The sequence below is a fragment of the Homo sapiens genome, chromosome X (assembly GCF_000001405.40).
Source record: "Homo sapiens chromosome X, GRCh38.p14 Primary Assembly".
NCBI classification, from domain to species: domain Eukaryota; kingdom Metazoa; phylum Chordata; class Mammalia; order Primates; family Hominidae; genus Homo; species Homo sapiens.
In genome coordinates this window covers 24,935,011-24,957,217 of record NC_000023.11, presented here as the reverse complement: position 1 = coordinate 24,957,217, position 22,207 = coordinate 24,935,011, and the positions used below count along the sequence as shown (strand labels likewise).

Sequence of the window (22,207 nt, the reverse complement as noted above, 5' to 3'; positions counted from 1 at the left end):
GCTCATGTTTTCTGTATGAAAACAGCATGTATAATTCATCATGGTCCTAAAGGCATTTGAGTTTGTGAACCCTGCACTAGGTGGCCATAACACACTACTAAAATCTTGAACCATTCCAGCCAACAGCCTTCTGTGTGGCATGCTGGTGTCCACAAGTCCTGAGGTCTGGGAGCTGGCAATACCCACAGGTGATGACTCATATGCAGGTCCTGTCTGTCCACCCCCATCCCAATCTGGTCTTTTCATCATCAGCTCTCTTCTTTATCCACAAACTCATCAGTACTATTAATTTTAGTTCATGGCTGCTACTTGCTTCTCTCCTCCTTCCATTCTTTTACTGCCTATTTTCTTAGTTTCATACTTTTTTTGGCCTTTTGTAGGTATGTAACAGGTATTCAAAAATATTGTTTAAGTTAGTTCAGGAGATAGTAGAGTCTTGAATTTTTATTAACTATTTATTAAGCAAAGGTAAAAGAGAATGAATGATTGCCAAAATTCTATTCTAGCGTTTTCTAAACTATGCCCTGCATCTACATAAATATGGAGAGAGCTGGCTTAAAACAAAATTAAACAAATTTCTATTGTAGGACACCTCTGAGCCTTAAATATGCTAATATACATTGAAAACAACAAAGGGGCGGGGGATATAGAATGTAGCATTTTCTAAACTTCTTTGGTCAGGGAGTCTTTGTTACCCCGGGAATACTAATGACACTAGAATTACATAGAACAGATTGGGAATGCTGCCCTTTTTAAATGGTCCTTCAACTTTCGGTTTTTCCCCTACACTAATCTATAAAGTCTATTTTGTTTCTAACAATGAAGTTACCTTCCTAGGGAATTTTGGGTTTTATATATATAAATATATATAAACATATAATATATATATAAATACATGTGTATATATAATTTGTTGATTTTTTTAAAGACAGGGTCTTGCTTTGTCACCCAGGCTACAGTACAGTGGCACGATCATAACTCACTACAATCTTCAACTCCTGAGCTCAAGTGATCCTCTTGCCTCTCAGCCTCCCAAGTAGCAAAGACTATAGATAGGCATGTGCCACCATGCTCAGCTAATTTTTTTTAAGAGGTGGGGTCTCACTATGCTGCCCAGACTGGTCTATAACTCCTGGCCTCAAATGACTCTTCTGCGTCAGCTGAAGGGAGGGTGGGCTGGGATTAAAGGCATGAGCCACCAGACTTGGCCTATATATTTTAAAGTTATTAAAAGTAATTCCTCCGATAGAGAAGAGAGGAGTTAGGTAGAATAACTGTCTTACTTTTTTCCCATTCAGGAATTTCAATAATAAAGCTTTAAAAAATGGTTTTAGGTGTCTCTTGTTATTGAAAACTACAATATAACAAACTGGTTGATGAAAGCCAACAAAAACAAATCTACACATCTCTGAACAAACCCTAGACTGCAACAGAAGATCAAAGTAAACATGTCTCCACCGTCACAACCAAAATCAAAGGCAACTCTGCAGCTGGATTCTCAAAGTAGCTGAAAGTTCTCATCAAGTCCATGTCAGTCTTATTCTCCGTGAGCACTGTACTAACCCACCCCATGTGTGATAAAGCTATGAACAATGGGGACTGCCTAATGCAAATTGTGTTCCTGAGTCACTGAAGGGGTTAAAGCCATTTCATGTCATTTAAAACCACACAGTGGAACAAATGGCCATATCCAACTGTCTTCTTCTTGAGGGCAGAAACTGTGTCTTAATCCTGCTCTGGGCTGGTGTGGTGGCTCACACCTGTAATCCCAACACATTAGGAGGCCAAGGTGAGAGGACTGCTTGAGCCCAGGAGTTTGAGGTCAGCCTGGGAAACATGGCAAGACCCAGTCTCTACAAAAAATAATTTAAAAGAATTAGCTGGTGGGGGTGGGCGGGTGGCAGTACACACCTGTGATCCCAGCTACTCAGGAGGCTGAGGCAGGAAGACTGCTAGAGCCCAGGAGATTGAAGCTGCAGTGAGCAGTGCTTGCGCCACTGCACTCCAGCCTAGGCAAACGAGTGAGACTGTCTCAAAAAAAAAGAGAAGAAAAAAAAAAAAACCAAAAACAAAGAGAAAAAAACCAAAAACAAACAAACAAAAAACAAACAAAAAGCAAATTCTGCTCTGGATCTCTGAGGGCTGCCCCACAGTGCCTGTCACACAGAAGACACAAAGGAAATGAAGTTGGTAGACTTCGCTGCTACAGAAAACCAAGGAAAAAAGAGCAAGCTCACAAATGTCCATGCTCCTATGAAACTGAAAGTCCTTTTATAGCCTTCTTGGGACTAGGGCTCAAGTAGCTGTGAACAAGTACTGTTAGATGAGCTGGTAATACTGTTATAACCTTCACCTGGGCCAGCCTGCCCTCTTAAAAAGAATAGCTCATTTAACCCCTGTGCTACAGGGGCTCAGTACTGGCACTTTCTCGATTTAAGGATGACAGCTAGTCCATGATTTACTGTGGTCCACTGACCAGTGAAGAATAAGACAATACCACCAAATGTGACAGGCTAAACTTCTTACAGATTTTACTTTGATGCTCACCATATTTACTACTAGTACAAATCAGGCTGAGAAACACCTACCATAAATCAGATATCTAACACTAACAAATTATGCACCCATTACAGATGACCTTTGGAGTTGCTCAAGGTACAGTCACAATCATGCATTAAAAAAGCTGCCTTTCACTGTAAAGTGTGAATGTATGAAATTAAATGAGGCTTGCAATGTAATCAGTGTGGTTGGCTGCTTTAATATATTCCATTTCAATTTCAAATCACCGTAAGCCAAGAGTGACGAATCTAATTTGATCAGTTGTTCACAAAAACACAGAAAAGCAAATGTGGATCTAGCAACACAGCCAGATTTTTAAAGGAATTAATATTTTCCACCACCACCAGAAGCCCTTAACATATTTTTTAAAAAATACTAATTAAAAACAAATCCAAACAAAATTCTTTTCTCACTAAAAATTCAACCCTCACACTCAAAAGTTCAAAAGAGACAATACTTAAAAGCATAAAAAGCATATTTAATTTTAAAAGCCAGTGACATATTTCAAATGTACCAAGAGAAAACTAAAACCAACAGGTCTTTACAGTGCACTTCCTGGAACTAATGTGGAAGGTTCTCCAGCACTGGTTATTAGTATCTAGCAAGAATTTGTATACAAACATATTTCTTTATCCCCATCCCTACTATAATTTGGGGCAACACAACTCACAAATGTACTCACTGTCATACTAGAGGTCTTTAGGACTCTAGCAGCTGCTTAGCAGAGCACACAAGAAACAACATGCTGATATGGGAATAAGACTGCATTATCCCAGTCACCTTTGAAAGTTGTGATGCTCTTCAGAATCTCCCTAATTAATATGTAATTTTTAAGGCTTTAGCATTTTCCTCTAGACCTCCGTACATAATTTCTAGAGAAAATACACAGAGTGCTTCCAGCAGGTGCACATTTGGTGGAGGGGGACCTTCCAAAAGCTCCCACAGTGGAAATACCACACTCCTTACCAAAGCCCTTCTTTCAAGATCTAGCCCCTGCCTATTTGTCCAACTTGATCTTCTGTTACTTTCCCTTCGTTGCCTGTCCTCCAGCCACACCTGCCTCCTAACTGTCCTAAGATGCTCCAGCTTCAGACTTTTTCCTCTGGTTGTTCCCCTGGTGTAGAACGTTCTGCTTCCAGAATTTCCTCCCTCTTGTCATTCAGGTCTCAGCTTAAACACCAGCTTCTTAGAAAGAACTTCCTATCCACTTCTATCAAACCACCCCATTTTATTGTCTCTGTAGGGGTTGTTACTATCTGAAATGATCTTGCTCTTTACTCTTCTGTAGAATGTGCCATGAGAACAGATACCTTGTTTATGCCTGATGCATGGTAAACAACAACAACAAAAAGCTAAAAACAAACTTATAACATAGAACAATAATAGACACCATAAAGAGGCACTAAAGTAACACAGATGTTTAACGATTTCTTTTTCAATAGCTAGGATGTCTGACACTGAGGAAGGGCGGGAGGGGCTAACATCTTTGGAGTCTGCTGGCCCTAAGTTTCAAATGCGTGTCTGCACTAGATAGAATTTACTGTCCTAGAAAATAAGTTTACCTGTTTTATATCTGTAAAATGGGGATAAGAGCATCCATTCAGCAGATTATTGTGAAGATTAGCATGACTACATGTAAAGAACAGTTCATCAGTAAAGGATTTGATGTTTATTTTATTCTTATTTACCTATCACTACCAACTACTGACATTCTCTTTAAAAATGGCAACCAAATAACAAAAATATGAATGAATCAGCACTCACTGTATCACCACATCACCCTGGAAACTAGGAGATTACAAATACAAATGGACAGAAATAAAAATGGTATGATTTCTAGAATTTTTTTTCCAACTTTTAAGTGATGGCTGATGTCTCTATCACTTCTAATTATAAAATACAACATATCTCATTTCTTTCTTGAGACAAAGATCCAAAGACAACAAACTACTAAAAAACTGCATTTATTAATTTATATTCAGTTAAACAAAGGCAAATATAACAAAGGGTACTTATTAATTTTATTCTCCAGAGATGCTTTAGCTGAGCCATGTCATAACAAAGACATCACATAGCAAGGCTTCTATCAGCACTGAACAAAAAAGTAGCTTTTTTTTTCCCTTCTGCTTTTTTCATTTGAGCAGTAAGGAACTATGCTGGCTTATTTATTGGGCAGTAAATGTATTCGAGACACTACCCTTTCAGGATAATGAAAACCTCAAAACAGGTCAAACACTTGAAGTGGTAAGTACTGATTGCATCATGGAGGTACATACTATGCAACCAGCCTTCTTTGTGCTACTAATTCTGCAGCTAACAGATTTGGGGAATTAGTTAAGAAGGGAAGGGCACTAGAGAAAATACTATTAACTGAGAAATACAAAAGGATGGCAGCAAAGAGAAGGTTATGGGAGTAAAATTACTAATTGAGGAAAAATAAGGGAAAACAGCAAAAATAGAGAAGGCAATTTATATGAGCTGGACTGGTCTGCACCTATAGTATCAGGGTGGACCCCATGTGAAGTTGCCACATTTTGTACACAAAAAAATGGTCTAATGTCAGCAATTTTATATGGTACAAACCAACACATTTACCAAAGCACTCAGGACTCCTCGTTACCACCTAATAAATGATACCCCCTAACTCGTGCATGAGTTTTGCATGCGAGTGGAAACTCTGAATGGCTTGTATTTGGAACCTTTACACAGCAGTGTCCAAAATGGTAACTGTTAGGGTGTCAGACTCCATTGTGGACAAGAAACTCTTCTATTTTAATAGATTCAAATCCCCACATTTCTTTTGATGGCTGTTAAGGTTTCAGAAGGCATTCTCAGTTTCCAGAGAAAGATTGGTATTAAAAATGTAATACAGGAGTTTAGAAGTGCTTAAATATTTTGAAGTCTGAATAAAGGCAAGATTCAAAGGGCATAATGGAAAAGAAAAGACATGAATTTACATAATAACTAATATTTTAAGATGTTCAAGAAGACCCTTATAGGGACACAGAAATACATTTTTAAAATAACAAGAAATGGGGATATTAAGGCACATAAATAAACCTGTCACTGCAGTGACAATGTACTGGTGAAGTGGGGCGGGAAGATGAAAAGGGGAAATATTCAGGTAAACACACCAGTATTTAAAAACAAATGGTGTGTTTGGATAGCTAATGTGATAATTTGAATTACAGCATGTGGTATTCTAAAAAAGAGTGCTGCAGAGTTGCCTGTGTGCTAGAAGGTGATGGTTAAGCTTGTTCCAGTATTATTTATAATAAAATATCCTCGTCTGCATTTGGTGGGGGGGGGGGGGGGTAGGGAGGTGTTTAAAGAAAGTGAGTATCTGTATAGTGATCAAACTGTTACTGAGCAAGAGCTTAAGCCTACTCCTAATCACCAGGATTTCTGTTAATTAATTGTAATCAGGATAAGGTAGTGAGGAAGGGGACAGCCAAAGTGCAGAGAGCAATGGGGGCGGGGGTGGGGTGGGGACCTGTTTTGGTGAAGATGAAGGGTTTAATTAATCACAGGGCAAAACAGAAGTTGACATTTACATCTCAATGCTGTCCCTGGTTATAAGCTGACCAAATGTAGATGAAGCCCACTGACAAACCATATTTCACCAATTTTAAGATAAATCTCCTCTCCTATGTTATAACATCTCTGAAATTGGAACATGTCTTAAGTTAATGTCATTTTGGATTTAATGATAAACGCTGATAGAGTTTAGCTAATGGTCATCTTTCTAAAAGTCACTCTGTTCCAACTTACACCAGCCAATCAATTATCAGAGAATGTTAAGTTTCCTACATGACTCTGTAACAGCTGCTAGTATCTTAGAAAATAAAAAACACCAGGGAAGGAGATGGTCTTAGTCATCTACATGTTTCTGATGCTTAAACACACCTCTAATTATGCCCTTTATCTGAACTAGGAATCTTGGGAGATAATATACATTAAGAACTTTAATACTGGGTCCCCTGACTTTGTTACAAAGAATGCTACCTGTGTATGATTCAAAATCTTTATGGAAGGCAATCTAAGCAGATACAGAAAATATTCAATATTTTAATATGTTGAACTACTGGTGGAACAGATGTTTGCCACTTGGGTAACTACAGAAAACCTAACAGAAATCTTTTGATGAACTTTATTGAAAAGAATAAGACTGTTAAATAAAGATACCATGCAATGAAGGAGGAAAAGAACTCTGGAGTCCTGTGTTGCCCAATAAGGTAGCCACTAGTCACATGTCACTATTTCCATTTAAATTAATTAAAACTAAGTAAAATGGAAAATTCAGTTCCTCAGTCGCACTAGCTACATTCAAGTGTTCAACAGCTACATGTGGGGCTAGAGGCTACAGCACTGGACAGCACAGATACAGAACACTTCTACCATTGCAAAGAGTTCCGGTGGACAGTGTTACTCTAGATGAACAATCTGAAGATGAGTTATAGCTCAGCTCCAACACGTAGCAGTTGCAAATCTGGATAAATTAATGGTGTCCACCAAAACTTGCTTTTCTCATTGGTAAAATGAATATGTAATTGTTATCCTACTCCCAGAGATGCTGTGAGGATAAGAGGACAAAGGACACGTGAAAGTGCTTTGAAAAGTATACAGTAGCTGGGCGTGGTGGCTCACACCTGTAATCCCAGCACTTTGGGAGGCCGAGGTGGGCGGATCACAAGGTCAGGAGTTGGAGACCAGCCTGGCCAACATGGTGATCCCCCGTCTCAACTAAAAATACAAAATTAGCTGGGTGTGGTGGCGTGTACCTGTAATCCCAGCTACTAGGGAGGCTGAGGCAGGAGAATCGCTTGAACCCGGGAGGTGGAGGTTGCAGTGAGCCGAGATCGCACCATTGCACTCCAGCTTAGGCAAAAGAGCGAGACTCTGTCTTAAAAAAAAAAAAGAAAAAAAAAGAGAAAAAAAGAAAAAGAAAAGAAAAATATACAGTGCCATAAACAGGTTAGCTAGTAAGTTATATTTTTATATGATTTACTTTAATAAACACACTTATGTCTGCTGGATTTTTTTTTTTTTTTTTTACTGTTTAAACCCCCAAGTTTCATGGCTTCTTTTTCTTTTTTTATTGGGAAGGGAGGGGGCTGGTTAAAAAAAGAGGAAAAAAAAAACATGCCTCAAGATATTTTTTAGCAAACAAATGCTTATAGTAACCACATGAATAACAGAAATGAGTGAAGTGGGCTGCAGTGAGGCTATGGCAAACTGGAGAACCCATATTCTGTCCAAACTGCTTAGCTGCTACTCAGCTTCAGTCAATTGTGGCCATTCAGGAATGTTGACCTACTGTAGCCACATATTGATTTTATTTAAAAATGCCAGAAATTTGGCTCTTTATAGGAACTCCCCACACTAAAAAATATTAGCAACCATTTAGAAATTTGAGGTGTTCTTCAGGCAAATTAAACACATTTAAAGGTCATGCGCAGTTTGTGGCTGCTACTATGCGACCTCTGGTTTCTAAGACGCTATGGCAGCTATACTTCTTCCCATGTGGTCCCATGTCTTAGGACACTTACAAATAAATGCACACAATTTACTGCTCATTTCATGTGAAATATAAATAAGAGTCACAGTATTACTTATTTTATATAAATTACCATTCTCCAGTATTAAGAAATTATTTCTATGATTACTAAAATATTGAAAAGGAAAAAAAGGCAAGAAAATGATATTATTCCTTCTTGCATGATTTTATATGCAAGTTTTACTGTAATTAAAGTTTTTTTATTGCTACTCCATTGGAAAATCACTGAAAATATGGGGGAGAACTATAGTATCTTATATAAAAGCCAAAGTCTTCTACTGATGAATGAGTTAGAAATGTTTTTTAAAATTCTAATTTGAAAAGCTTAATGTCAGAAAGCAAAGCAAATCTTTTAATTCTCCCAGTAATTTAAATGCTATAAACTCAAAAACACATTCAATTTAAAAGGTTTCTATTATATTGAAGCATACACAATTTTTTATTCCAAGTATACTTAACTGTATTTTATTTTTATCACATGCCCACCCAAAGGAATCAGCAGTTGCAGCCTTTTTATTCAGTTGATAATTCAAATATTATTTCTAATACAAATATATGGTTTATCACGCTTATTTATCACTAACTTGCTACACTTCATAATCGCATTACAACCCCACTGTGTACTGAATACCACTTACAGTTCAAACTACTCAAGATAAGCACTGCTACTTTCAAGAGAAGATTGGCAGTAATTAAAGGTCTTATTTAGTAGTTGTTGGTAACCACCTTTTTAAGGAGGAAAAAAAAAAACAGAAAGTAGCATAGATATATTTAATTTAGTAATTGTATTTTATTAATGAGGTCTATTTTGGACATATACTTTAACTGGGGTTAAAACAAAGATGTGCTAAACTGTTATCAACGCTATAAAACAGAATGAGATGGAAGTGTTTTGTAATTCATCAGTCGGAAGAATTGAAACATCTGTGACCTACATGGCATAAAACTAAACCATACTAGAACACTAATAATAATAATAAAAACAACAATAGTACTTTGCACTTATAGACCTCCTTTCAGAGGAATTTCAGAGTGCTTTTTAAACACATGTTATTTTCCCTTTTTCGAACAAATAAAACAACTAAATCAAAGAGTAATAATGGTTTGCCCATGCCACAAAGTGAGTCAGCGACAAACCAGGAATAGATTTTCTAACTCGCTCAGTCTCCCACAATGATATCGTGCAATGATTACTCTGTTAGAGTATATCTTGCAGGTTACACTCAAGACAGGTATCTCCAGATTTCTTGTGGGCTATTTTTCTCCCCCAGCCCCAGCCTATTAGTAGTATTGTTTACAAACCTACATTGCCATTAATACGTGTGCCTGCATGCTGCTCAACTGAAAGTCACATGGGTGATAAGAGAAAACCAGTCTGAAAGTCTCTTAGCGGTTCTTCACCTTCCCACCTTCACGAGAGCTTTCTGGAGTTGGCCTCCAGACATTTCAAGATATATTAAAGGCTAGCCAACCAAATAACACATCTGGAGCAGAGAGCTAAAACTGTGAATCACTAGAAAAATCTGCAGGTGGCTGGATGCGGTGGCTCCTGCCTGTAATCCCAACACTTTGGGAGGCCAAGGCAGGCGGATCTCTTCAGTTCAGGAGTTGCAGACCAACTTGAGCAACATGGCAAAACCTTGTCTCTAAAAAAAAAATACAAAAAATTAGCCAGGCATGGTGGCACATGCCTGTAGTCACAGCTACTTGGGAGGCTTAAGTGGGAGGGTCACCTGAACCTGGGGAGTCAAGGCTGCAGTGAGCCGTGATTGCGCCAATGCACTCTAGCCTGGGCAACAGAGTGAGACTCTGTCTCAAAAAAAAAAAAAAAAAAAAAAAAAAAAAAAAAAAAAAAGAATCTGCAGGGAAAACAACCAGCTGCTATCAAATGTATATAAATTCTGGAGGGCAAGGAGTGTGCCTGGGTTGAGACAGTCCTCATTTGAAGTATGATTTTAGACTTTCAAACTTAATCCCACTAATATGACTGAGCATCAGTTTGATTTATATAACCTAAAGGTTTAAACAAAGAAATTTCTAGGCTGGAATTTATGTAATCTTCTGGAGATACATGATATCACAGCCCAACTCTATTAGTAATTGTCAGAAAGTAGACAGATTAAGGTGGGAAATTAAGTCCATGTGGAATGAGGAGATGGTATGGGCTAAATGTTTGATGAATGTATACATACATGGATAGAAAATTTTTTATGACACAGTTGAAGGACATAATAGGAAATAAATAGCAGAGAAAAGAGGATGGAGTCAGAAAGTGCTCTATTACAGAAAACATTAATTTAACATACCATTTATTAGGCTCCTATCATGAGCAAGTTGCCATCAGACATAAAATAATGTATCAAGCATGATCCCTGTCCTCAAATAATTATAATGTAAGAGGGACAGTGCTTAAGAACTACAGGAGTTTAGAGGACAAAGAGATCACTTATGGCTGGGAGGCCTTAAAGTATGAATAGAATATGAACAGAGACTGGGTTGAGGTTGGCTAACCCAGGCAGGGAAACCACACCAGCCAAAGGATGTGGCCATAGTGGAGTCAAGGCCTGCTCAGGGACTGGTGAAGAAGGGTCTAATTTGTGGGTACCAACAAGGTGCAGTCCTAATCCTTCTAGGCAAAAAGGGGTGATCTGAGACTATTTTATAACTCCAGCTATAGCCAGTCAAGCTATTTCTCCTGCCTGGACACCCCAGGTAAGATGAGCACCCCAAGAGATGAGCACCCCAAGAGATGAGCACAGGACACAGGAATATCCTCCTAAACCCTCTACTACTACCATCCTGTTCCAGACCGCTTGGAGGACGTGCAAAATTATAAAGTTGCGGAAGGCTGCTCTACCCAGGATCCAGTCAGCTGAGTGTCAAGGTAAGTAGAAGAGGACAGGAGGTGGGAATGGTCTCAGAAATCCAAACCACAGAAGCTCCTAAGTACCACGTTTGGGTTAGCCTCCACCTTAATATCTCCCCAGTTACCTATCCAGTCTCCTTGAAAGATCCCCCATCCTCCCCAGCAGCCCTATTCCTTCATTCATGACGCAAGTTAATGGGGGAAAATAATGTGCTTTATAGCCAATTTTGTTGAAATGCATTTATTTCATCTTCAGTTTGCTCATTACCAGAAAACAGTTCCTTCTTGCTTACTTTTCCCTAGCCTATTTTTCTTCACTTTATCTTTGATGCTACATTAGCGTATACAGCACCATAAATGCTTCCTTTATCTAGGAAATAATTCTTGTGTTTGACTTCATTTTCCTTTCTACTGTCTGTTTAAATTGTTATCTAGATGCCACCCAGTCTCCCTTTCTATATCAAAGTCAAACTTAATGCATATTTGACAAGAAGCAATATTAAAGTTTGAAGAGTTTCACTAACTCAGAGATTCCCAACACTGTGGGTGTGCATCAGAATCACCTGCGGAGATTTTTAAATACACTGCCGCCTGGGTCCCACCCCAGACCTACTCAATCAGAAATCTGGCTTGCAGATTATTCGTGTTTCAACTTCTTCCATTAAGTATGGAAGACTGAGAACTAAAGTTTTCTTTTTAATACACTTCTGACATGATGCTATTTCAATAGATAAGAAAACTAAAACACAGTTATCAAGATATATTTTAAGCTCCTTGAGAACAGGGACCATGCTTTTTTCATACTGTAACCATTTGGTAAAAATGAATCGAGCATTTGCTACATGTTTGGTGTTGTGCTAGATGCTGAGGATACAAATCTGAACAAAACATGGTCAATGACAGGCTGCAGAAACCAACTCAAATACAGTTGTAACACTAAGTACTATAATAGATAGTCGTTTAGACAAAGTATTCTCAGAAGTAATAAAACCAACTGACATTTACTGCATGCTTACTATGTGCCAGGCACTGTCCTAAGCATTTTACGTATTGCCTGTTTAATGTCCCAGACGTTTTACATATTAGCCTATTTCCATGTCATCCTGCTGAATTTAGAACCCTTTGAGGTAGGTGCTATTTTTTTCCTGTTTTATAGATGTACTTCAAGGTTACTTATCTAGTAAGGGGTGGAAAGTCAAAATTTGCACCTGGCACTCTCACTCCAGAGACTGAGTTTTTAATCACTACCCTATATTGCTTTTGAGAAACCCAGGCCAATGCCCTTGGTGTTCAACAAATGCTAGCAGAAGGAAGGAACAAAACAACAAACATTTTACAGAGCATTCACATGGTATGCCTGAAGCTCCTCCTTCCTAAAACTCCTGAACACAACAAACTAGAACCGTTGAATGTTTGTATGATTCCTTAGAGCCTAGGCAAAGACAAATATTATCTTTCCCTTTACTTCAGTAATGAGATCAGAAGCTAGGTTTTCATAGCTAACCCTTAAATCGATCCCTTCATTTCTATTCCTCTAGTTCGTGAGAGCTTACATCATTTGAGCCAAACTAAAAATGGCATTTTGAGGACACTGCTTCCAGGAATTCCCACATGCCTGTAGCATGTTACAGTGACACTCTGCTGCAATGAAAAAGATATTTCCTTAGAATTAGGCGAGAAAGGCAAATCTAAAGAGATGATATTTCAGGTTGAAAGAAGGAAAAAAGTTTCCTGATTCAGAGTTAAAGGCTGCTGCCAACAGCTTGTTTTGTTTCCAAAGATCAACACACAAAAGTTTCACAGAGCTGGAGGGAAAAGATTTGGATGCTAAGTTAGACAGGGGGTGGGGGGGCATAATTCTCATCATTCCTTTGGGAGCAGTACAAAAATAACAAAACCTTTATAAAAGAGATGAGCAAGCTGGCTGTGAAAGGAATGACCCCTCACATATAGGGAAAGCAATTTGCATCTACAGATCTCATTGGTATAAATGACCTCCTTCAAAGAGTGAAAACCTCAATGGAAAGCCACTATATACCCATGAAAAGCTTTGCCGCTTATTTGTTGAGCTGTATACAGACTAACAAACAGGAGTGGTTAACCTGGCGCACCATGCACTATAGAGATATTTTTTTTAAGTAGGCTTAGTCAGCTAATCTTGTTGAGATTTCTCTCATACTACTGATTTCTTATTCTCAAAATAAATTAAGAGGCTTCATTCAAAATTCCCTGTGGTCTACCAGCTTGAGTTTGTTGGGTGTCTTTGATTGTCTCTTGTCTTTAGATTCCCTGCCTTGCCTCTTTAGATTTTGCTGTGCCCTTTGGTATTTCCCGTTAGTCCATGTCTGGAATAGCTAATTACATGGTAGGGTAATTCCTGCCGTACAACAAGGAATAGCAGAACCTTGCTAATTCACACCAATGACTGAAAGACTCCTGTGTAAGTTACTGAATTATGCAAATGAGCAATAAGTGAAGAAAGATGATTCAAAATTGTATTTCATTCATTTATTTTGACAAGTGTAGTTTAGTCTTAATTATTTTGAAAATTTCTTTGTAGCATACTGATAAATTTACTGCGGCTTATTTGTTAAAAGTGATAAAGCCTTCACTAACAGAGACCAGAGTGCACTCTGTTGAATAATTTCCCAAGACAGACTACTGTTCAGACGCTTTCTTTTACTGTGGATTTTACTGACTTTTCAGCATCGACTTTTTTTGGTAAGGCAATATATAATATACCAGTAAACTTGAAGAATTAGTTCAGCAGTAAACATTTACTTCATAAACAGGTCTTACATGTTTAAACTTTCACCATGGTGTTAGTGAAAAAACAAAACACAACAAAAAATCAGCCATGCTTTAAGTAAAACATTTTTACATTTTTTTCGTCATAATGCTAACAGGACTTTAATTTTTATTGTCTAAATAAAACTAGTTTGGTCTGTCAGTCATCCCATTTAATTCCAATTTCTATTTTGTTTTGTCTTACCACACTCCTTTTCTTTATAGTTAAAGACGTCTGTTTTAAGATAAGTGGATATATCACAGTATGTAAATTTTCATGTCAAAATACTTACATTATTATATTCTGAGTTAAATTATTTAAGATAGAAAAACATTTTGATACACTTTTGACAGATGTATCCTGTAGGATGGATCAATTTCTTTCAAAGCACCACCACTGGTTACAGTGGAGAGTGGAGAGTGGAGAGTGAAGAGAGAATACTCTTCAAGGACAGCGGGCCCAGTGGCTCACGCCTGTAATCCCAGCACTTTGGGAGGCTAAGGCGGGTGGATTGCTGGAGTCCAGGAGTTTGAGGCCAGCCTGGGCAACATGGTGAAACCCCATCTCTACAAAAAAATACAAAAATTAGCTGGGCGTGGTGGCACGCACCTGCAGTCTCAGCTACTAGGGGCGGGGGACTGGGATGGGAGGATCACTTGAGCCCAGGAGGTCGAGGCTGCAGTGAGCAGAGATCGTGCCACTGAACTCCAGCCTAGGTGACAGAGCGAGACCCTATCTCAAAAAATAATGCCCTTCAAGCTTATAGTCCTGAGTTTAAAGCTTTGCTTCTTAATAAGCACTTTTAGACGAAATTTTCAATTCAGATATGCTTTCAAATCATGATGCATTTGTCAAAGGAAGTTCTCCCTTTATAAAAGCAAGATAAATAGGGCACTTAAAGAAAAGTGAGAAAGGCAAAACTTCGTCTCAAACTACATGTCTGCATCTGTGCCTATTAAAATCTCACATACTCTTTAAGGCCCAACTCAGGAAATCTCCACCAGGAAACCTTCCCTGAGGTATATGCTGAGATCCCTCAGCAATTCATACCATTCCCTTGTATTTGAGTTACTTGTCTTCAGGCTGAAGTTTCCCTAATAGATTAAGAACAGGGCAGCTGAGATATGGCAGAAAGAAAAGCCGGGCTCTTAACACTTCTAAGCTTTGCTACTTTGGGAGAGTCATTTCATCCTTTTGGGGTTGTTTCTCATCTCAGAAGTGTCAACTACATATCCGTATACAATGGAATTGTCTGGAAAATGTAAAAGATAATGGCTGTGAATGTTCTCCACAAAAGTAGAGTCCTATAAAAAGGAGGTATTTAGAGGTGAATGCATGAATAAGCAATTGGTCAGAAGTATTGGTACTTCTAGAAGCAATATCATATAGGACAGAGACCCAATACATATTTGCTGAATAAACTGGGCAAGGGTTCAGGGCACGAAGAGGGGACAGAGAGTAACAGACTTACACACAGACCTGCTTTTTTGACCCTATTTGAAATTACAATAATTTCTTAGAACAAGAAAAGCACATCAGTGTCTAAAATTAGCCAGCAAATCTATCTTTCTACGAACTAGTTTAAGCCTTAAGCTCTAGGGGATGGTGCTAGGGCTTGCAGGGCTCACAGGCCAAGGAGAGAAGGGTTTCCCAGGGCCTTTATACAGGGAGAATGTAATCAGTGTTGATTTAACTCAATGATGGGCTACTAAGTCTGTCTAGTTACTGTCCTGTTAGCCACAAGGTAAGAGAATGCAGATGGATCTAAATAAATTCATGACAACTACAGGAAGAACTAGTTTAAGAATGAGTCAAATTGATGATGGGTTTTCTTTGTATATGAAGGGTAGCATTATATGAACCAGATAGTACAGCATAAAATAATAAATGGCACTGATTAATAATGTGAAAATCAACATCAGTTCTTGGCCTGGGCCTACAGGGTTACTGGAGACATCACAAGGACATAATTAGACTTCAAAAGTTACGGTTGATTCCCTTAGATAATTATGAAAAATTTATCAAGAATTATAGGATAATGACATATGCCAATTCACATGCAAAGCAAGAAAGCAAAGCAAAACAAAACACAACAATGTCAGTTTAAATGTCAGCTTCAAAATGAAATTTGTATTATAATTGAAAAGATGAGGATTAAGTGAACACTTTGCTTTTAACCATTAAGGGCTATTCTGGCATGGTACAAGCACTAGTAAAAAAAAATAAAAATAAAAAATACCAACCACCAAAACAAAAACAAAAGATTAAGAGGAAACGTGAGAGGCAGTGCTGTCTCATAGAGGGAGCATAAACACTTCTGAAACCATGAGAAGAAATGTTATCACAATAGAGTTAAGGCAAATAAGAAATGATTAAGACATTAAATTCTGGGCTAAGTAAATGAGAAAAGATTCCCAAGAGGAAAAAAATATGCAATTTTAAAATAACCCCTAACTACTAGAGAAAAATAGCAGAGTCAGACTAAATCTGTTTAAATCCCAAACATCTCTGAGACCATGAAACAATTCTGGATAAATATAAATCCTATAATTTGCCTGAAGCAAATGGGACTGGCATTTTCACACCGTTCACTGACTTTTTAAAAAAATTCACACTTATTGGAAATTTCAGCTAGTATAAAAAAGTCACAAATTCAATAACTGGTAATACCACAATGAGTGTTTCGTTAGAAAGTTTTAAGAAAAAAACGAATATCTGATCTCCTGAGCTGAACCTTTTAATGTTTAAGGCTACATTTTTAAAAGAAATAACTCATACATTTTAAGTGGCTGTTTCAATACATTTCTAGTGAGAAGCACTAATTTTGGGGAGGAAATTAGTATACCTGTATCTAACCCCAAGTGCTTGATTTAGGTCATGTTGTAATAGATTATACAGATATTACCCAAATACTGATAATATTAATTCCTGAAACTCATAGTACATTCCATCATGATACTTAAAGGATCTACTCACTTCTCTGCCATGAGTATTACAAGCCCTTTCCTCCTAATTGATGTGCAATTAATTCAACCAACGTCCAATTAGTCTTCTACAACATTACCCTACTTAGACAATAAAGCAGAGCCTCTAGATTGGGTTCTAAACCTGGGCTAAAATAGGCTCCTACAGACCAAAAACGGTTCTGGGATTTCTCTTTGTAGTGTAATTTAGATGTCATATCTAATTTGCTGTCATGACTATTGTTTCACTGTGCAATTTTTATGTCGTTTTGAATGGTAAAGGCATCATAGCTTTATTGAATTAAACCTTTTGTCTTTATTTAGGGTCTGATGTTACATGTTTGTGCGCTTATGTTTATGTCTCAAAAGCTGCTTTTGACATCAAGTAGTAGAAAGGAGTATGCTCTCTTGATACGTTTGCTCATATCTTAGTAAATATAAACACAAACTGGAAAAACACCTTCTCCAAACTGAAGAAACAGAAAACTGAATATCATTATTGCTTTTAAAGGCAGAGATAGCTATTAAATAAGCCATTCACATTACAGAATTATAGAAGACCTTGCTGTTGTGTAACCTAAATGCCTTGTTGATTCTATTAATCAATTCCTTCCTAAGAAAGAACTGCCCTTTCCATTGACAGTTTTTGTGGTACCTACCTCAAACATTTAGATATTATTCTTACCACACTCCATAGTCACAAAAAAATTAAAATGCTCTCTGACTTTTTAAATCACAAGGGACAAAGTCTATCTTACCCATACCACAATACTCAGTTTAGTGTTGGTCTGTTGGCACTTATCCTTGTCCTGGCCTATGAGTTCCAGCTCTAAACTAAAGTTATGACTAAGAAGACTAACCATGGAAAGCCTTCCACTAGACCACTGGAATAGCCTTTTAACTAACTTTTAGTGCATGAAATTTCATAAAGTTTTTACTAGATAATTACACTTCCTGATTTTGTAATTAGTGGAAGTACATGCAATTACATAATAATTATGATAGTAATTACGTAATTAAGATGTATAATTATGTAGTAAAAAACATCATGGAAATAAAACCATCTACTGTGTAAGCACAATACATTTTAAAAGTAAATTCACTAGCTCAACTGTTTAAAAATACTTTTCTTCAAAATAAAGTGATTAGCTCACATTATGGCTTAACTGCTTGCGAATTGTTTCATTTTTTTCATCATTGGTGATAGAAGCATATTTTTAAGAAGTACATAAAAAAACTTATCAATCTTTAGTATTTTTCCTACTAAAAAATGACAATATGCTTTGCAAATGCAGACCATCAACCACATTATCACCTAGACATGGCAGAGCCCTTGTGTTGCTGTACCTGTCACTATAAAAGGGGAAAGGAACTTGCCCACTAAAAAGACATAATGCGAAATGATTTTATAGAACGAGTAACACATCTGTTATCATAGAAAGCCTCTAAGTCTCTTTGTACATAAAAGTGCAAACGTTGAGTGCATATTTACAGAAATGGGCTTAAAGACACATAATTAGAATCTGGAAGCTGGCTGCTCCAAAATATGGCAACTTTCATATACTAACTTAGCTATCTTGAAGAAGATGGCAGAAAATGTACAGAGCCAAGACACTTCTACTTATGGGGAAAGCAACTAAAGTGACCATTTCTTGGAAAATGTAGTTTCTCTTCTGTCACATTGTAAAGTTATCTCAAGTTAAAACAAAAACAAAACAGGCAGTATCCATAGAGAAAAATAAACCAGTGTTAGCAGGCTGCATGCTGCCATCAGACAATACCAACTTTCTCGTTCTTGTAGTGAGTATAAAAACATCACAGAAAAGTCAGTGACAGTAGGAAAAAGAAAATTTCAAAATAAACTTTTCAGTAGCAAAATTTAAGAAATAGAATCTTGTTTCCATTAAAAGAATCTAGTTGAATGCCTTGAAATCTTTATAAAATACTACTAAATCAATGTTGTAATGAGGTCCAGAATGTAGTGATAGGGTGAAACTTTACTCTGGGCACATAGAGAGTGGCCCTTACACGAAGTGGGTGTAGAACTACACTCCAGTTCTTTTTTTATTGAGATGGAGTCTCACTCTGTGGCCCAGGCTGGAGTGCTATGGTGCGATCTCGGCTCACTGCAACCTCCACCTCCAGGGTTCAAGCGATTCTCCTGCCTCAGCCTCCCAAGTAGCTGGGATTACAGGCACGTGCCACCATGCCTGGCTAATTTTTTTACTTTTAATAGAGACGGAGGTTTCACCATGTTGATCAGGCTGGTCTCAAACTCCTGGCCTCAGGTGATCCACCTGCCAAAGTGCTCCCAAAGTGCTGGGATTACAGGCGTGAGCCACTGTGCCCGGCCTTAGTTCTTTCTTTTATAAGCCACTAATCTTAAAAAGCTGAAAGCTATTTTGAAAATCCTAATTTACTTCTCCCTTGTTCCTTCTAGTTACGAAGAAACAAAGTGGAAGAACTCATGCTTTTTGGCTTTTTTCCCCTCTCTTAGCCCTTGTCAGACCACTGCATTTTTAGCTTAATAAAAACATATTTCAAAAGGCCAGGTTGTGATATGAATTCTACCTTAAAACTTGGGTAGTCCTTCTGTAGCCTGCATAGTTGTTGTTTTAAAGTTTTACCAAAAGGACGGCCCTAATCAATGAATGAATAAAATAGAAGTAGGCTTTAGTTATTAAGGGAGAGTGTCTTAGATCAGTGCTTCTGAAACTTTAACACGCGGAGGAATCACCTGAGGATCTTGTTAAAATGCAGATGCTGATGCAGTAGGTCAGGGGTGGGTCTGATATTGTGCATTTCTAACAAGCTTCCACGTGATGCCTATGCTGCTGGGTTACTGATCACACTTGGAGTAACAAGGCCTTAGGTTTGACTTGGAAAAAAATACACGGAGAAAAAAAGCTGGTTTGGGTTCATTTCTATGTTATTTTTTCCCTCAATTGTGAAATTATTTGGGTAATTACTTCAAGTTGAGTAACATTCTCTATAACATTTTAGTGCTTATAATTTTTTTCATGTTATGAGAGCAGTACATGCTCAGAGTACATAATGTAGAAAATATATAAAATTATAAAGAAAAAGAAAAGCTATAATCCACCTAGAGATAACTATAACAAATTCTAGTGTTCCTTACTAATTTTTCTACCTTGCATATACACCACAAATTAGAATCATAAGTTATCTAGTTTTGTATTTTATCATTATATATGTCATTAAAGATTAAACCTATGTAATATCTAACAATAACAACCCCCAGAGGCTCAAGATTATATAAACCACTTTTTTCTTACCAAAATTCTTTACGTATTTCTACAATCACTTCTTTATAATAAACAGACAGCTATGTTCTGAACTGTCAAGTCAGAGCTTCCTACCATAAAAATTCCCTTAATCAAAGAAACAATTTTTAAAAACCCTCAGATCATTTTTTTATTTGTAAGAAAATGAAATTAAAAATGCAGTTTACAGTTACCCATCTTAAAATCTATTTTTCTAAAGAAAATTGCACAAATATAAAAAATATAATTTTAAGAAGAATGAATAGATGCGAACTGTTTTGTGTGTGCTTTACCTGTTATTACTTATTAAAAACAGAAAAAGCTTGCCCTCAAAATTCAGCAACAGTTTTTCGATGGAATAACACAACCAGGCCGGGCACGGTGGCTCACGCCTGTAATCCCAGCACTTTGGGAGGCCGAGGCGGGTGGATCACAAGGTCAGGAGATCAAGACCATCCTGACTAACGCGGTGAAACCCCATCTCTACTAAAAACACAAAAAATTAGCCGGGCGTGGTGGCAGATGCCTGTAGTCCCAGCTACTCGGGAGGCTGAGGCAGGAGAATGGCGTGAACCCAGGAGGCAGAGCTTGTAGTGAGCCAAGATCACACCACTGCACTCTAGCCTGGGCGACAGAGTGAGACTCCGTCTCAAAAAAAAACCAAAAAACAGAACACAACCAGTGGGCTTCAAAAAGTGGCAATAAGAAGAAAAGGACCAGACAGGTGCTCTCTGACACAGTCTTCTTTTTAATATTTTGTTAAGGATTTAACCAAGTAAATTCTAAGGATGTCAACTAGCTTAGAGAGGACCACAGGGGCTCTTTGCTACTTTCATGATGAAACTTTCCTGCTTTCACTTTAACAGTTCAGGAAATATAGCGGAAATCCTTAACACTGAAATGGGACCCATCTTGAGACTTTCCAAAATCTCCACATTCCCATATACACTAAAGCATATAATTTCTTCTATAAAACTCTTATTTTCTGGCTTAAAAAATACTACCTTTTAAGACCCTTTTCAGTACTAGCTGTTGTCTTTGTTTTGGAGACCATTTTCCACAAAGTAATATAACTATTAGCACTTCATGAGTGTAACTACTTAGCTGATGGGGAACACAGAACAGGACCCCGTGGCAGTGTGGGTGAGGAGCAGTAGGCTTGGCTTGCTCATTAGTTAAGTGACTGGATATTCTTTCAGTTCAATTTAAATCTGGCATCAGCAAAATAACACACACTAACATGTTACCTACCTTCAGTATCACTTGCAAAGAGTTCAAGCGACAAGCGTTAAATCTGCAAATGTCAAGGAACTTTAGTAACTTTAATTTCTTCATCAATATAATGAGCACAATCCACTGCTGCCTCACAGGAGTACTGTGAGAACTCGTGTTACACACGTGAAAGGACAATAGGAAACTATGAAGTACCTTAAAAGGGGCAGCCTAGTTCTTCTGGGTGGCATGTTAGGAAACAAGAGGGCCTACAGATGTTACCACCAGGCCTAAAGAAAAGACAGAAGAAAAGAGATGACAAGAGACTGAAAAGTTTAAGGAAAAAAAAAGAAAAGAAAGCATATGAGGCTCAAGAGGGGAAGTGAATGTGGGATTTCACCTGGTTGAGAGGAGCAAGAAAACTGCAATCTTTGCAGGTGCAGCTCAGGAGGCTGGGGCACTCAAGGCTGCCCATAGCACTTTGTGAGAAACAGGGTGACCTGAAGAATAGTCCATCTAGGCCTAAAGAGACCCCCACTGGGAAGTCAGGCTTTCCAACGGATACTTCTCCTATGGGTAAATTGTCATCTTTTAGCTAGCCTCTATGCTGCAATTCCAATTTCTGTCTTCAACAGAATTCTACATCCTAGTGTTCCAATTCCGGCAGTGTTCAAAGGAATTTATTAAGAAATTCAAGTAGATCATCAGTTATGGACTGAATTGTGCCCCCCCAAAATTCATACTGAAGGTAGGTTGAAGTCTTAACCCTTTGTACCTTAGAATGAGACTGTATCTGGAGTGGACTGTATTAGAATGGACTGTATAAGGCCTTTAAAGAATTAAGTTAAAATGAGGTCATTAGGGTGGGACCCAATCCAATATGACCAGTGTCAGTATAAGAAGAGGAGATTAGGTACAGAGGGAAGACACTGGGAGAAGATAGCTCCCTAGAAGTTGAGGAGAGACCTGGCCGGGTGT

At 37.9% G+C, this 22,207-nt stretch overlaps 1 protein-coding gene across 9 annotated transcripts in view; it reads right to left on the bottom strand.

Annotated features, from left to right (window-relative positions):
• POLA1 (DNA polymerase alpha 1, catalytic subunit) overlaps positions 1-22,207 on the bottom strand; it is a 303,069-nt gene that overhangs the window by 39,769 nt on the left and 241,093 nt on the right. The window contains exon 37 of one of the 9 annotated variants that reach the window (XM_017029595.3): positions 8,887-21,519. The exons of the other annotated variants lie outside the window; for them this stretch is intronic. Coding sequence (XP_016885084.1) covers positions 21,482-21,519 — 38 coding nt within the window. The 3' untranslated portion in view covers positions 8,887-21,481. Of the gene's footprint in view, positions 1-8,886; positions 21,520-22,207 lie in introns of those variants that run through there. 9 annotated transcript variants of the gene reach the window in all.